The sequence below is a fragment of the Homo sapiens genome, chromosome Y (assembly GCF_000001405.40).
Source record: "Homo sapiens chromosome Y, GRCh38.p14 Primary Assembly".
Classification (NCBI taxonomy): domain Eukaryota; kingdom Metazoa; phylum Chordata; class Mammalia; order Primates; family Hominidae; genus Homo; species Homo sapiens.
Window position 1 is genome coordinate 13701235 of NC_000024.10, and position 17979 is coordinate 13719213.

The 17979-nt window shown below is 39.8% G+C and overlaps 1 protein-coding gene and 1 pseudogene across 1 annotated transcript; one reads left to right on the forward strand and one right to left on the reverse strand.

Moving 5' to 3' along the window:
- The first annotated feature begins 2664 nt into the window (after window positions 1–2664).
- On the forward strand, window positions 2665–4790 carry TMSB4Y (thymosin beta 4 Y-linked). The gene is made up of 2 exons (NM_004202.3): window positions 2665–3201; window positions 3991–4790. Exons 1-2 carry the CDS (start codon window positions 3102–3104, stop codon window positions 4023–4025), a joined length of 135 nt encoding a protein of 44 aa, NP_004193.1. The 5' UTR covers window positions 2665–3101; the 3' UTR covers window positions 4026–4790.
- Window positions 16828–17603, reverse strand: PSIP1P2 (PSIP1 pseudogene 2; annotated as a pseudogene).

Here is a 17979-nt window from a genome sequence, read left to right on the forward strand (position 1 = left end):
AGTGAGGCCTAACCCTTTCTGAGAAAAGCCTTTGGGAGAAGAGGCCACAAGAAGGTAGTGGCACTCCTTTGTCATCAGGAGACATGGGGAGGAAATAAATGACTTTCTACAGCAGCTGGGTGAGGGGAAATGGAATCGCAGAATCTGCGGGAACGGTGTAGGTACAACGGCAGCTGCAGGCTGAACGGGCGAAAAGCCACCCTGCAAGATCTTTTCTGTTTCAACGATGAAGTGGACTCCCAACATGGAACAGGGAAGGGGGACTGTTACCAGACAGGTGACATTCGGTGCACGCACGAACAGGTCCTGTGCCCCATTCGGAGGGCAAGAAGGCAGCCACCCAGCAGAACATTACCTAGGGAACCAGATGGCACCTGCCTCTGCTCATCCCCACCTTCTTCCTCCCTAGGAAAAAGGAAGTCAAGCAATTGAAGAAACGGGGAAGTCTGTGACTCTAATCCCCAGCGACACAAAAACCTGTGCCATCAAAATAATTAGCAACGGATTTCTAAAAAACATTTGCTCAGGTTACAGAAAAAAAGAAATATTTTACACACTGCCTTGTCTCAGAAATAATCACAGTTAGGCCTCTTTGTAACCGGCGGGTCTTCCTTTCACACGCCATTTGCAGGCGCAGGACATGGTATTTGTAACTAATTTCCATTAGCAAGTGGGTCACTGGAATTCACAGTCAGGTGTCATTTTGAAAAGTGCTTCCCTCTACCCAAATCTTTTATATTTCCAGATGCAGTTGCACTTCGGAGATGTCCTAGTGCTGGAAGCACTCCCTTAAAAATATAGTTTGATTTTTGAATTTTATCTTATGATGTTAGAGGTAATGGGACTATAGTCTTTGGAATTCAACACAGTCCTTCTTAGCAATCACTCTGACAATTTATGAATATAAAAAACAAGAAGGAAAAGAATTTCCTCATTGTCAGGCAGTAAGTCAATGGCAGAGCTTCAAATTGACTTATTTTGCTAAGAGGGAGCTATAAACTCCAGACAAATTACTCTACACCCAGAGTGTAGAGTACAATATTACCCTACACTCAATATTACTGTTGAGTGCCTACAAAAATTATGCTAATGAAACAATATGGATGTTACAAGGCTGAAAGTTTCTCTTTTAAAATCACTGAGGGTTGCTTTACCTTCTGCCAAAGGCAAGAGGAACGCCAGTGAGGAAGAGGTCCGGGGTGGGGCGCATAGGCCTCCACTGGTCTGAAAGCTGAGTCACAGGAATGATATCCCTGTAGCTGACCAGGCACTCCAGGGAGGGACACCGCGCCTTTGCGTGCGTATGTCCTCAGTAGGTAAAGCCAGTTTCTCAGTAAAACAATGCCTGTTACCCTAGGTATTACTCCGACCCTTAAATAATATGCACCAGTCCGCAAGAGCAATTTTTACGCTCCTGTTGTAAAAGGGGAAAATGCGTTTTGAAGGAAGTGTTGGAAGGTGCTTTGCTCATTTTATCTTTCGCCATCGTTGTGGTTAGGGGGCAATGGTGCACCTAGGGTGGCGTTGGGGCTCCCCAACCGCCCGGCAGCTTTCAGACGCCCTTCCGAGACGTGGAGCGAAAGACTTAAGCGGGCCTGTGGGTGACATCAACTCATTTACATAGGAGGGCTATAAAGTAGCGCCTGCCCATCCCGTCCTGGCAACTCCGCGGTGGACACTGTGTAGACTAGATTTCACTCCCTTACGCGCCTGGCTTAGGTAAGCCCCAGGGCCCCTGCATCCTTACTCCTTCTACCCTCCCCTTCATGCCGCGCTTGCCCCTTCATTATTCGCGTCCCTGTGAAGACATCCCCTAAAGCCAAGCCGAGTGATTATCCCCGGGAAAGCTGCCTTGGGGAGGTGGGGATGCGAAACACCCTAGATGCTGGGTAATGCGGTGGGGAAATCGATGATTTAAGAACAAAGCAAATAAACCGGCGTTTATGTACTGCCGCTCGGAGGGTTCGTGTTAAAATTTCTTAGTGTGCCGAGGCGGGCGGATCACGAGGTCAGGAGATGAAGACCATCCCGGCTAAAACGGTGAAACCCCGTCTCTACTAAAAATACAAAAAATTAGCCGGGCGTAGTGGCGGGCGCCTGTAGTCCCAGCTACTTGGGAGGCTGAGGCAGGAGAATGGCGTGAACCCGGGAGGCGGAGCTTGCAGTGAGCCGAAATCCCGCCACTGCACTCCAGCCTGGGCGACAGAGCGAGTCTCCGTCTCAAAAAAAAAAAAAAAAAAAAAAAAAAAAAAAAAAAAAAAAAAAAAAAAAAAAAAAAATTTCTTAGTGTTTGCTCTCAAAGGTATTGTGCGTTGTCTTGGAGGCTGAGATGTGGGAACAGACAGATCCTTTGTTCTGAGGCTCACTCATCTCCCGAGCCCCGAGCCGTCTCCCAGCCTCAGACGGCTCTGCGGGCTGCATCTGTGCAGCCTGGCAGCGGCGGCGCTGCGCTGTGACATTTTCACAGCCCTTCTTGCAGAGGCATGTGTGCTAGGGATGCCGAAATGCCGAGAGCGCCGGCAGGACTAGCTTCCGGGCCGCGCTTTGTGTGCTGGGCTGCAGTGTGGCGCGGGCGAGGAAGCTGGTAGGGCGGTTGTCGCAAGCTCCAGCTGCAGCCTCCGCCTACGTGAGAAGACTAGAAAGCGGGCGCAGGACCAGGCCTGCGTTGTTTGCAGAGAGGCCGTGGCTACAAAATGGAAGTGCTTTTGCGACCTGGGCTCCATTTTAGGAATTCTTGCCCGATTTTAACCACTTGAACGCGGAAGTGGCTTTCCTATTCTCTTCCAAGCCAGCCTTTAATTTTAAACGCTGTAATTAACAGTTCACAGGGGTCAAATTCCTTTATTCCGGAACATTCCACTTTGAGAGGGATCTGTCCTCTTTGGTCCCCTGCGTTTTCAAATATTTGAGGAAAGGTGTCGCCTCTTTTTCTGTGGAAAGAGGAAGCTCATGAGCGCGAAACAGCAGGGGACGGAGGGCGAGAAGGGCTTTCTCAGGTTGCGGGTCGGAGGGCAGAAGCACAGTTCCCAGTACAGAGACCCGGACAGGTGGCTGTTTCTCACGCTCACTTTGGATTGCTCCCTACGGCTTCCTCCGCAGCCATGTCTGACAAACCTGGTATGGCTGAGATCGAGAAATTCGATAAGTCGAAACTGAAGAAGACAGAAACGCAAGAGAAGAATCCATTGTCTTCCAAAGAAAGTAAGCTCCGATCCTCCCCCATCTTTAGAAAGGCTGGAATGCGAGCGGGCGGTGGGAGGGCGGGAGACTGGGAGCTGCCACGGGAAGAATTCGGGAGGCAGGGGAGGGCGCTCAAGGAGCAGATAGTTGGTGAATGTGGCTTGCAAAGGTTAATTAAAAATCAGATAACTTTTAGTGCAGTAATCCCAACACTTCGGAAGACCAAGGCGGGGATCACCTGAGGTCAGGAGTTCGAAACCAGCCTGAGGAAACCTCGTCTCTACAAAAAATACAAAATTAACTTGGTTTGCTGGAGGGCGCCTGTAATCCCAGTTACTTGGGAGGCTGAGGCAGAAGCATTGCTTGAACCTGGGAGGGGAAGTTGCAGTGAGCCCAGATCCTGCCACTGCACTCTAGTATGGGTGACAGAGGGAGACTTCATCTCAACCAAAACAAAAACAAACAAAACAATAGGGCGATCCTTAAGGGGGAAGGTTGCATGAACACAGGGTTCATTAATTTAATAATGCAATATTTAATGCGCTATAATAATATACAAACACATTTATCACTGAAAATGTACGGCTATTTAATATACTCAATATACATTTTTTATTTGATTATGACATGCCTAGCTAGGTACACTTGCAGAACGTTTAGGATATGACAAGATGTTGCAAATGAAAGCCCCTTAATTCCATATTAGGCTGTACTGAAACCCCTTAATCATCCCATCCATATTAGGCTGTACTGAAACCCCTTAATCATCCCACTCCATCTTTTTCCTTTTCTGTTTTTTTCTGGTCGCAGCTATCGAACAGGAGAGGCAAGCAGGCGAATCTTAAACAGGCATGTGCCACCAATATCTACTGTACATTCTACAAGCATTGCTTTCTTATTTTACTTCTTTTACTTGTTTAACTTGGTTAGATGCAAACACGTTGGATGAGTTTGAAAGGACTATGCTGCCCTTTTGACATCAAAGACCTGCTGACAATGGAGGCCACGCCTGCTTCTCCCATCGCCTGTCTGGCTGGCAGGGAAGGAAAATAGCTTGAATGTTGGTGAAAGACTTAGCGGAGTGGGAGGGCAGTGAAATCTAGAGTAAAACCAAGTTGGGCCAAGTGTCCTGCAGAATCTAAAATGAAGTTTAATCAGCGTGCCATTTTTGTTGTTGTTTGAAAGATTTTAATTTTTGGAATGCACAGTTTTTATTTAAAAAAGACATTTTTAAACCACTGCTTGTGAGATTGCTTGTTGATTGGAAAGAGTGTTTTATTCACCATTTAAACGTTTGCAAAGTGGCGTGCCCCTTGGCCTCACAGGCAAAGAATAACTTAAAAGCTGACGATTTGAATAAATTATGTTACAGTATGAAATATGTTTTACCTGGATATGTAAAATACCTTCTTTATTCTAGCTAATTGGGAGATGATTTTTTTTGGCTAATTGAGATTACCTTTAGATTATGTTTTCAAAACTGGCTTATACTGTAATCTACAACTAATAAGCACTAATTTAGAGTTCAGCTATATTGTTGCATGTAGTGAGAAGGGACTTAATTACAAACTTAAGACGTAAGTGTGCAATAAAGTAAGCTAAGAAGAAAATATGCTTCTAAGACCTGTATTTACTTGGTTTATATTTTCCTTAGCTTTTTATGTAACGTTTTATCTGTGGTCACATTGACATGCTTGGGCTATCCCTACTCCTGGCTTCTGAGACCGGTGGGCAGGGTTCATGCATGCACTGTGCGCGTGCACTCTTCATTGTGGGCATGCACTGTGTACTCTTCCTTCTATTTCCCAAAGTGCCTCACATAGTAATGGACATACATGATGGCTTTAATATACACTTTGCCCCCGTAGTTGTTGGAGAGTTATTAAACATGCTTCTTTTGAGGTCCCTTTGAACACATGCATATCATGTGAAATAGTACAATATTAAATATATTTTTAAAATGTATTTACACAGGAATTTGCCACTGTTTTTGATTGTGCTGATTTGAATCAATACGTATAGTCAATTATATACTATTATATATTATTAGTCCAGAGCATTAGATCATTAGTTCATTCAGCCAGTATTTATTGAGTGCCTCCAACATGACAGGTGTCTTTTTTTTGAGACGGAGTTTTGCTCTGTCGCTTGGGCTAGAGTCTAGTGATGCGATCTCGGCTCACTGCAACCTCCGCCTCCCGGTTCAAGCAATTCTCCTGCTTCAGCCTCCTGAGTAACTGGGATTACAGGCTGCACCACCATGCTGGGCTAATTTTTGTATTTTTAGTAGAGAGAGGGTTTCACCACCTTGGCTAGACTGGTCTTGAACTCCTGACCTCAGGTGATCCACCTGCCTTGGCCACCCAAAGTGCTGGGATTACAGGCCTGAGCCACTTTGCCTGGCCCATGCCAGCTATTTTTATATGCCATAAGAAATACAGCCTTAACTAAAAAGATAGTATCTTACATTGTGTTTCCTTCATCAGCTAGAAGATGTCCTTTTCCTCTAAATCTGATTATGAACGTTTTTATATTTATTTTAGTTATTTATTTTTGTGAGATGGAGTCTTGCTCTGTCACCCAGGCTGGAGTGCAGTGGTGCGATCTTGGCTCATTCCAAGCTCCGTCTACCTGTTCAAACTATTCTCTTGCTTCAGCCTCCTGCATAGCTGGGACTACAGGCGCTCAACCACGAAGCACAGCTAATTTTTGTATTTTTAGTAGAGATGGTATTTCTCCATGTTGGCCAGGCTGGTCTCGAACTCTTGACCTCAGGTGATCCACCCGCCTTGGCCTCCCAAAGTGCTGGGATTACAGGCTTGAGTCACTGCACCCAGCTGAATGTTTTTATAAAGGTATCTAAAATTATTATATCCAGATTTCTCCAAAGCTCAATGGTCAATGAATTCTGATGGAAACCAACTGATGACTTGCATTGCAGTAAAATATTTTATGAGCATACACAAATTGGACATTATAACTGTTGTCTGATATCTTCCAAGAATTCTGAGGAATGCTCCAGATCTAGAAGTGAGTGGAATGGATGGATGCCATTTTAAAATCTTTTACTAAGACTTTGTTATGTAGATGTTGTATTTTTTGAAGAACACTTTCCTGGTAAATTCTTGCCATTCTTGTGTTAGTCTTGTGGGATTGTTGTGGGCAAAAACAGTAGCTCACATGTTAAAGTCCTTCAAAGAACTTAGAAAAATAATAAAACCACGTGGATAATTTGGTCACTTTTTTGTAGGATTTTACAATTTTGAACCTTGGCTAGAGGAGCAAGTTATGGTTGTGATCCACTGAAGGCATTAGAGCTATTCCTGTCACATTATTATCAAACAGGAAATTATGTCTTTCTTCATTACCATATTGAGCTTTTAAGTTGCTGATATCCTTTAGCTACATGAACACCTCATGATAATGTCCCAATTTAGAAATAAAAATATTTCATGAAAATATAATATTTATAATAGTTAATATAATATACAGTATGTAATATATATTATAGTTCTTATAATGTTTACATATATAATATTAAGTTATTAGTATATCATGTAATTCATTATTAATTAATATTATACTTAATTATTCCAATATACTATGCATATAGCACTATCTGGTGATTTTAACCTAAAATAATGACTTCGTTAGAGGATGGAAAAAGTCACTATTTACTCAAGAAACATTAAGCACATACTGTGTGCCTTGCTGTTTTCCAGTTGCCATGAATAGAAAGATGAACAAGACTTGAGCCTAGTCTTGGTCTAGTCAGAAAGACAGACCTGTGTATGTGAATAACTATGCACAGCATGAATCATGTATCTGCTCATTACCCAACAACTATACATTGAGTTTCTGTTTTGTAAGATGTTGGGCAGGGAGATAAATGAGAACTATACTGTGAAGGGTATGTCCCTGGCTAAGAAATTTGAAAGTTATTCTTAGGTAATTGGAAGATAACAAAAGTAAAATCCTTTCATCCACATGAGGCAGCTGGTATACTATTTCTGTTTAAAAATGAGTTTACAAGAAAGGAGGGCAAGGAAGAAACTATCCATATTTGTCATTAAACAAGCAGATTAGTACCCTCTGTTATAATAACAATATGAGGTGGTAATACATCCTTTATTAGTATTTCTTAGTTCACATTTCAATAAGACAGGCTGTAACACATACACAGTATACTTTTCATGGCCATTGCTATCAGTTTTAATAGAGATGTGGAAATAACACCTATAAACACCTCAGAAATAACATCAGTGGTTTGAAACCAGTTGTATGTTTGCTATCATTATGGAGATAAATAACAGAAGAGTAAATAGATTTCAAATTACTAAATTATATATATTTTTGGCAGAATCATTGACGTATACAGTTTCTTAGACTATATCTGTACATTAAAAACTTAACAGCAACTGTATTGTCAATTTGAAATCAATATATCTTCTAGATGAGGCAAAATTTTCTGGTGGTTGAAGTCGTAAATTGGTGGGCAGGAACATTTTACTAAAAAGGTAGATTTGTAAAAGGAAGGGAAAATTAAAGTTTTGCATATTAATCAGAAAGTTGCTCCATGATATAAGAGGTGATACGGAAAATCTTATAGGATCCCTAAGTGAGTACACACAAAAGGTCAGGGATTGGAGATAACATCGAAGGTTTGGACTCAGTTGTATGTTTGCTATGATTATGGAGATAAATAACATGGGTAACCATATAATAAAACACTTCTGGTAAAATAAATGTATACTCTAATAAAGGGAAGATATACTGTGAGGGCAAGTCCGAAAAGTTAGAAAAAATATTAATGGGTTAAAGAAGAATATAAACTGGATTATTTGAAGAAAGCATTGTAATGCAACCCTGAACTCATCATTTTAAGAATTATTGATAATTTAAACTAGGAATCCAAATTCTTACATGCAAACATAAATTCTTAAAGCATCATATAAGCCTAAGGTAATTCTCTAAAGTTCCATTAAGGTTCCTCTTTAGAAGTTCAGTGTTACAAAAGAGATGCATGAATACATTCAGGCATTAAGAACAAACATATTTTCTGGGCATGGTGGCTCATGCCTATAATCCCAGCACTTCAGGAGGCTGAGTCGGACACATCACGAGATCTTGCCCATCCTGACCAACATGGTGAAACCCTGTCTCTACTAAAAATACAAGAACTAGCTGGTAGTGGTGGCACATGCCTGTAGTCCCAGCTACTCAGGAGGCTGAGGCAGGAGAGTCGCTTGAACCCAAGAGGTGGAGGTTGAAGTGAGCCGAGATTGCACTATTGCACACTCCAGCCTGGTAATGGAGCAAGACTCTGTCTCAAAAAAGAAAAGAAAAGAAAAGAAAAAAGAACAATCATATTGGCGTGTAGTGTATGGGCCTTCATCCTATTAGGACTTTTTTTCTGATATAGGTCATGAAGTTTCCTAACAGGAGGGTGGGATACCAGAGTGAATTCATTTAAGTCTTCAACCAGGTTTCAAAGAATTAATTCTTCAAATGAAAGAAAGAGGTAAATCCAAAGTTGAATCTAATTCACACATTTAGAACCATCTCCATAAAAAGTAACTCCACACTTTTGGCCATATTTCTTTGAAATAACTGTGGTTTATTTTGTTCCTGTTCCTCTCCTAGATACTGACATCTAGTAATGAGCAGAATCTAAGCATTTAGCTGTACCAATTTTGGTTCATTATCATCTTCTTTGCAGGCTAAGTATTTCCATTGAAGTTTGATTAGGGTGTGAGGGTGATTTTGGGCTTTGCATCATAGGACCAGCTGAATGATAACTGTGGAGGCCTGCACTTACCTAAGGAAAGAAGGATGAGGTAGACAAGGCAGCGTGGTAGCCAAATTAGACAAAGGGCTATCATTATAAAACTTACTGCCCCATCCCATTGTTATGACAATTTCAGCCATATCCAAAGCATAGGTTTCAAACAACAGGTCATGCTTCTTTACAATGTCAGGAAATCAGTTGGTTCTTGTCAGCATTAAAAACAAAAATACAATTAGTGCATGACAAGTAAAATAGAGGGTAAAAAACCCACAGAGAAAATAAATTTAATGAAATGTTTCTTCAAAAAGTTTTTAAAAATTGAAAAATCATTATCTGGATTGTCTAAGAAAAAATGGAAAACTAAAAAGAAAGCAGGACATTACTACCAATTTTACAGAAAGCAAAGATTATAAAACAATACTGTGAACAATTATAGCCATACAAATTGGATGACCCAGAAGAAATAGACAAATTCCTAGAAACATACAAGTTACCAAGAATAATTCATAAAGAAATAGAAACTCTGAATATACCTATAATTAGTAAGGAAATAAGAGTCAATAAACAAAAGCACATGCATGTGTGCATACATGGACACAAGTTTGGGAACAAAGGGATTCACTGACAAATTCTACCAAGTATTTAAAGTAATATTAACATCAATCCTTTTGAAATGCTTCCAAAAATTAAAAATTAAAAAAGGAACACTTTCAAATTCACATTATGAGGCTGTGACCCTTATACTAAGGCCAGACCAAGATACTATGAGAAAACTACAAGCCAATATTTTTGGTGAGGATTGTTGCAGAAACCCTCAACAAAATATTGGCAAATCAAATTTACTATCACATTAAATCCCAGCACAAACAAGTAGGTTTTATTCTTGGACCAGAAGGATGGTTCAATATACCAAAAATTAATAGAGTGAAAAGAAAAAATTGTTCTTTTATGATTGTTTCAATTGATGCAGGAAAATGATTTTAAAGAATTTAGCACCCTTTCAGGACTAAAAAACAAACTAACTATAAATTTGGAACAAAAGAAAACTACCTCAACATAATGAATGTCATATTTACAAATCCTGTAGCTAACATTATTCTCAATAATGCAAGACTGAAACCTTTTCTTTTAAGATAAACAACGAGACAAGGAATTCTGCTTTTGTCACTTCTATTCAACAAAATATGAGTACTAGAATTTCTAGCTGGAGCAATTAGTCAAGAAAAGGAAATAAAAGTCATTCAAGTAAGAAATGAAGAAATGAGTAAAACTCTTTTTTCACAAACAACATAATCTTAAGGTAGAAATCCCTTTATAAAGATTCCACTCCCTAAAATGTCAGTAGTAAACAATTCATCAAAGTCACAGAATACAAAGTCAGTATACACAATTAGTTTCTTCTGGGTGTGTGGTTCACACCTGTAATCTCAGCACTTTGGGAGGCAAGGGTGGGTGGATGGCTTGAGCTCAGCAGTTCAAGACCATTTTGCATGATATGGCTTGGCTCTGTGTCTCCACCCAAATTTCATCTCAATTTGTAATCCCCGTGTATCAAGAGAGGAAGGCGATTGGATCATTGGGGTGGTTTCTCTCATGCTGCTTTTGTGATAGTGATGAGTTCTCAAAAGATCTGATTTTTTTTTATAAGTGTCTGACATTTCCCCTGTTTGCATACTTCCTCCTGCCACCATATGAAAAAGGTCCTTGCTTCCCCTTTGCCTTCTGCCATGATTGTAAGTTTACTGAGGTCTCCCTAGCCATGTGGAACTATGAGTCAATTAAACCTTTTTGCTTAATAAATTACCCTGTCTCGGGTGTTCTTTATAGCAGTATGAAAATGGACTAATACGCTGGACCAAATGACAAAATGCCATCTCTACAAATAATACAAAAAATTAGTTGGATGTGGTGATATGTGCCTGTGGTCCCAACTACCTGGAAGTCTGAGGTGAGAGGATCACTTGAGCCCAGGAGGCAGAGGCTGCAATGAGCCAAGGTAGAGCCACTGCACTCCAGCATGGGTGACACAGCAAGACTCTGTCTCCAAAAATATAATAATAATTATAATAAAAGATAATAATGTTTTTGTATACTAACAATGAACAATCTTAGTAAGAAATTTTTAAAAAACAATGCCAGTTTAGCCAATAAGTAAATGAAAACTTGCTAAGCATCACTAATCATCAGAGAAATACAAATGAAAACCAACCACGATGATATATTAACTCATACCTGTTAGAATGCCTATCATTAAAAGAAAAATTGATAATGCTAACTAGAATGTGAAGAAAAGACAATCCTTGCACACTGTTGGTGTGAATGGAAGTTAGTAGAGCAATTATGGAAGACAGCTTGGGAGTTCCTCAAAAACCGAAAATTGAACTATCACGTAGTCCAGCAATCCCACTACTAGGTATATGCCACACAGAAACAAATCCAGTACATCACAGAGATATCTTCACTCTTAATATTCATTGCAGCATTATTCATAATAACCAAGATATAGAAACAACCTAGGTAACACTAGATAAATGTATAAAGAAAATGTGATTTACATATACAATGGAATACAGTATGACAGTTCCTCAGAATAGTAAACATTAAGTTATGATATGGTCCAAGAATTTCACTTCTAAGCATACACACAAAATCATTGAAATCAGGGGCTTAAGCAGATATTTGTGCATGTATGTTCATAGCACCATTAACAGCAGCCAAAAGATGGAAGCCTAAATGTCCATCAATAGAGGAGTCGAAGAATTATGGCCTTTCCATTCAATGGAATATTGTTAGCCTTTAAAAAAATGCTGAAACATGGACAAACCTTCAGATATTATGCACTGTAAAATAGGCCAGTATGCAAAGACACACATTATGTGATTCTATTTATACACATACACCAAGTTTCTTGCCTTGGTGTATTGGAAGAATTGGGTCACATGGGGGCTTGGAGAATGAGTGCAAGGTTTTATTGCGTGGAGGTACCTCTCAGCAGATGGGGGAGCCAGAAAGGAAATGGTTTTCTCCTGTAGTCAGGCAGGTAGGGGTCCTGCGCTCTCCTCCCACTGCCCCAGCCAAATTGTGCATTGTTTTGCTTGTCCGTGGCTGCTAGCCCTGCCAGTGCCTGTTGGCGTGCTCTTCTGCAGTGTGGTGTGGGCGATAGCCGCTGGTGTCTTTTTCTGCTGCTGTTTTTCTCTTGAGGTACAGCTCCTTCTGCCTCTTCCTTGCTAGTTTCTCCGGTATTTATAGGTCCAGGATGGGGGCGTGGCAGGCCAGGGTGGTCTTGCAAAATGCAACATTTGGGCGGGAAGGCAGAAATGCCTGTACTCACCTAGTTCCATGGGGATGGAGCCTTATCCAGGGCCCATACACTCCTCTGTCCAGCACTTCCCTTCCCCTCTTCTGCATCATTTAAAGGAACCATGCTCTTATCAATCAATTCTATTGATAAACTAATATTGAAGAAGGCGTTGTTCATGTAGACAACATGGTACAAAACTGAGGACACAAAAAGCTTGTTTCTCAGAAACTCAAAGAAGAACATTGCTTGCTGAGGGCTACAATGAAGAAAAGTGAGCACAAAATGAGGCTTGGCAAGTAAATTAGGACAGATAACATAATTTTTAGTTTACTATTTTTAATGGGAACATATGAAGCAATTGCAAGGGCTTGTTAAGAAAAAAGTTTGATGGGATTTATGTGTTTTTGCAGGACTCTGTGGTCAGCTAGGAGGACCAGAGATGAAAGCTAAAGGGGTCAGTTTGGTGGGGGGATAATGAAATAGGTTCTTAAATTGATGGTGGTGATGGAGGCACAACTCTGAAAATACTTAGAACCATTAAATTGTGCACTTGAATGGTCAAATTGTATAGTATGTAAATTATATCTTGCTAACTGCTTTTTTAAAATAAAAAACCCAAACAAAATAAATCACTTAAAAGAAATATAATAAAAATTGTTAGATTTTTCTTTATGGTACATGTTGGTTAATCACACTTGTATTCAGTTCTGTACATGTGTGTTTGTGTGTGTGTGTGTCAGAGAGAGAGATACCTGGAGGAGAAGAAAAGGAAAGAGAGAGAAAGATAAACTGTCTGTGATGTAAAATGTATCTTTGACTGTGAGTCGGAGTCACACTTGTCAAAACTTCATTCCCCAACTTCTTCCTTATTACATTTTATATACTGCTCTCATTACATTTTCTTTTCCTGCCCAGCTTTATTAACTTCTAATCATTCACTTCAGTTAATTTTTAAGTTCTCCCTTTCCTGTTCCCTGAAGACGTCATCCTTCACATACAATCCTGAATCTGCTGTAAGAGCCTGTTTATAATGTTTTCATTTGGCTCCCAAGTAGCAACAAATAAATGATATACTTTTTACCACTCAACTTATTAACTGTTTTTCATAAGCCCCTACTAGTTGTGCAATATAATCTTCGTAACTTCTATGGGCTACACTTTTGTCACCTGCATAGTGGGAGAATTGATGGCCCTAACATAGGGGTTTACTGTGACAGTTAAAACAAATATGTACAACCTGTAAATTAAAAATTTTCCATTTATCATAGCTTTTATTTAAGCAACAACATCTTATTTCTCAAATAAGTCCTCATCACAATTTCTTCCTTTACTTGACCTCTTTGTAGCTTTTGACAACACTAACCACAGTCTACCTTCTAAACTCTTCTCTCCCATCACATTTTTGGCTTTTCTCTGATTTCTCTGATTATTATTATTCTGTTGATTTCTCTAAGTGGATTTTCTCCTGGTTCACCTAATTCATTCATTCTCTCCATATCTTCAGCCACCAACTCAAGTTGCTGATTCTTCAGCATCTATCTGCAGCCCAGACATCTAAATGATTCTGAACTTCTATATTCTGTAACGCATCAGATATTTCTCCTTGGCCTTCCATGAGAACCTTGAAAATAGCATCCTGCCATGAATGTTTTCCTCTTCTCTTGCCTCATTTCCAATCTTAATTAAGACAGCACAGCTGAGAGAGTTACCCAAAGATCAAAAATTTATCATTGATTCTTCTCTTTCACTGGTCATATTCAATTGGTTAGCCACTCCTTTTCTCGGTACCACTACTTGGTACACATTCTTACTTACTTTCTCCGGACTGTAGCAATCACACTTAGCTCCCTGACTTCAATCTCTGCCTTCTCCAATTCATCCTCTAACTAATTTAGAAAACGTTTGTAAAACAAATATCATTATTTCATATCCCAGATTGAAATTCTTCACTATCTCTTCATCTTCTGTAAAATTATCTCTAAACATATCATGGCCTATGAATTCCTTCACAATTAAACTCTAGTAGTTTCCTATACCTCCTCCCACTACTTCTCCAGTGAAAATGTATTCTGTATTTGACCATGAAGTGAGTTGTAGGATGCAATGAGCAGAAGAAACATAGGCACCCAGACAACTGCTGCTGCCTGCAATACTTCCTAACGTCAAGCCCGATTAGGAAGATTGACCAAATTGTAGAGAACCTAAAACATCCCTGTAAGTAGAGAGAAAATATATTAAGCAATTAACCAGATTATTTAACATGCCATTAGTTACTTTATTTTCTTCCTTTCTTGTTTAATGGTACAAAATACTAGGCAGGTGTGTACCACCAGCATTGGGTGCACCTCTTCTAGCTGCTACTCAAGTTTGCATTTCATGTAAAATCCCTGTGAATAAATATTTTAATACCTACCCCTATAATTCTCTGCCTCCTTCTTTGGTCTGAGCTTGCACTCCATTAATGGCAATTGATAACACCACAGCTCAAGGAGTTACCCAAAGTAGACATCAGAAATTTATCATTGATTCTTCTCTCTCACTGGTCATGTTCAGTGTTCAGCTAAGTGAAATATTTATGGAGGGCAATTCTTGGTTCCAGCATGGAGTTTTGTTGGGAAAACTGGTGATCCAGTCAGTAGTCAACTAATGAAATGGGCTTGGGGAATGAGGGATCCCTGGGGAAAATCTTGGGTTAGCTGACCTAGTCAATAGAGTGACCAGTGACTCCCATGTTTGAGGCACATGGGCATCTACATGAGTATAGGATATTCTAAAAATGCCCCCAGATTCATGACTCTGTTGGAGGAACTAAAAATGGGTCATGGATGTAAGGAAGAGATAAAAATGAGGCATATGTCTAGAAGGCCCCTCTCATGGGAAGTGCCACAGGAAACAGATACTGTAGTTAGCTGCAGAGGCAAAAATAAGAAAACTGGAGTAGGAATTGAAATTAGAAAAGAATATGTAAATGTCCACTATCCTGCTGGCCACCAAGCTAGCCCATAAGTTTTGAGATCAGGATAAGAAATCAGACATTTTAGGCCTGGCATGTTGGCTCACGCTTGTAATCCCAGCGCTTTGGGAGGCCAAGGCAGGTGGATCACGAAGTCAGGAGTTCGAGACCAGCCTGACCAACATGGTTAAATCCCCTCTCTACTAAAAATTCAAAAATTAGCCAGGTGTGGTGGTGCACACCTGTAGTCCTAGCTACTCAGGAGGCTGAGGCAGGAGAATCGCTTGAACCTGGGAGGTGGAGGTTGCAGTGAGCTGAGATTGCACCACTGCACTCCAGCCTGGGCAACAGAGCAAGACTCCATCTCAAAAAAAAAAAAGGAAAGAAAAATCAGAAACTTTGATATGTATATACACCAAGATACAGGACAGAAAGCTCCCCAGGGTGAAAGTGTGTGCCATCGTGGAAAGACCTAGAACTCATTGGAAATTGAGAATGATAGTGAGACTGATGTGATGCTGGAAGATAAGAAGGAGAAAGAGAATGGAGGAGGCCCAAATGCTTATTCGGCATGCTGAATATTGAGCAGGGACAGGCTGGAGGCCAGTTGCCTCTGCTGGAGCATATGCCATCTGAACTGGTGGAGATTAATGCTGAGTTTCAGCAGGAACTTGATGAGAGTATTTCTGCATGGCTGCTGAAGTTATGGGATTTGGATGTACATAGTCTGTAACTTACTGGATAAGAAGCAGAAAAGGTTATAATAAAACTACCCATATTGTCTATGACAACACTTGGGACGGAGTAAGAAGCATCTTGGGTGTCCATGTCAGTGGATTAGGGTATTAGCTCCTGTTGGAAGGTGTAGCCTAATAAGGGGGACTTGCCAGAGGGATACCTCAGTGGAACTATATAGAGGAAGTACAGCAGATTCCAAGGGAACTGGGAATTTCCCTACAAAAGTGATCATAAAACTTATGAAGCCTTGCAGACTGGGAACCGCAACCAGGAAGCTGCTAACTTTCTCCCTTTGAAGGCTAGCAGGCGATACAGATTGCCAGATGGTCACAAAGAAATACAAGAGAGCATTCTGGAGTAGTAAAAGCTGGGGATAGCATGACTGGTTCAAAGTAACTTTAGTAACTGGATGGCCTGATACAGATGCCAGATGGCTTGTGGATAATGAAAATGGACTACAGAAAATTTTAAAAGTGATGCCTTTCATACATGTTCTTTGTCAGACATTTCTTTGCTACAGCACTTAGAGTATTACCTAAGAACTTAGAGTACTGGATTTTGCTGATTACTTTTTTCTAATATTTCCTAACCACAAGCTCAGAGGATCAGTTTGCTTTCACATGGGAAGGACAGCAGCAGACCTTTAAGGTGTTACTGCAGCAATGTACATACAGCCCTATAATCTCCTACAAGATGGTGGCCTGCAACTTGATTCTGTTTTCATCCCCCTAAACATATTTAGGAATGTTGATCAGATGGTAGGAGACCCCAAAATTTACTTTAACTAGTGAGTAATACAAGAAATCATCTAGATGGCTTAACACACTCTCAGTGATTTTTTTCCCTCTTTTTCCTTTTCCTTTTTTTTTTGATAGAAAAATTATTTAATCAAAATAAGTCTACACATTGAACTTATGGCTTAACTAGAATAAATCTAAGTTAAACTGTATAGAGACCAAACAGATAATGACTGGTGTATATGCAGGTTCTCTCAAAGCAGTGATTCCTAGTTCCACTGTAAGACCTCTTAAAAGTGAAAATTCAATTCTGTAGATGAAAACAGTTATCCCAGTGGGTCAACCATACAATGTCATATACAGACGCTGCTCTTAAGCCATTTTTTCCATATTCATATAGTTTCAAAACATGAGAAGTATTTTACTTATGGGAAAATGCCAAATTACCTAATATTCAAAGTATCTTAGAAATGCTATCCTTTAGTTAACATACCCTTAAATTTTGTAACATTGGCTTCACTCTGATTTACTCCATACACATCAATGTACAGACTATCAAAGTACTATGTTGGAACAACTGCTCTTTGCATTTTTGGAATCTAGAAATGAAAATAAAACTTCCAATATAGCCATGTTTTCAAATAGGTACGTTTCCTTATATAGCATTTGTTTATTGTATAAGCATTATGGATTTTTTCTTCCAATTAAGTACTATTTAGTGAATTCCTAAAGAAATTTTTAACAGCATAGAAACTTGAGGCATTTCTCAAAAATACATTTATTTAGTTTTCCGTTTTAGTTACTAGTGCCTGCCTGTGAAAAGGGCCTTAAATGATTTAACCCTAAAGCCAGATTCATTCCTGTATATACCCATTCTGTTATCTGCAGAGAAGTAATAAGACTTCATTCCTTTCTCATTCCTTTTCATACTATAAAATATTAGTCAGATGTGGATTGCAAGTGGAGAGATGTACCTTGTCTTGCCACTGCCCATGATTGCCTCATATATAAGTTCTCCTTAATGAGTCTTTGACTATGTATCAACCTGGAGTGGTCTGCTTTTTAGTCTGATTTTGCTTTCTATTTATGAAGATGTGTCACCTAGTAACTGACAAAGTAATAAACTTGAGAAATAAGGCATCCCTGGGGAGAAATTCCAGATTGCTTGGCCTAGGCTATGTGGTGACCAGTGACCCATATGCCTAATTTTGTGTTTTGACTTCTATGTGAGTAGAAGCATGTCCCAAGAGCTTGTCACCTTATCTGAATAACTAAAAATAGG

Bases quoted from the DNA above. Each gene is read 5' to 3' on its own strand.
- TMSB4Y (NM_004202.3), top strand. From the start codon at position 3,102: ATGTCTGACAAACCTGGTATGGCTGAGATCGAGAAATTCGATAAGTCG. The intron at 3,202-3,990 runs GTAAGCTCCGAT...TTCTGGTCGCAG, and splicing joins TCCATTGTCTTCCAAAGAAA to CTATCGAACAGGAGAGGCAA.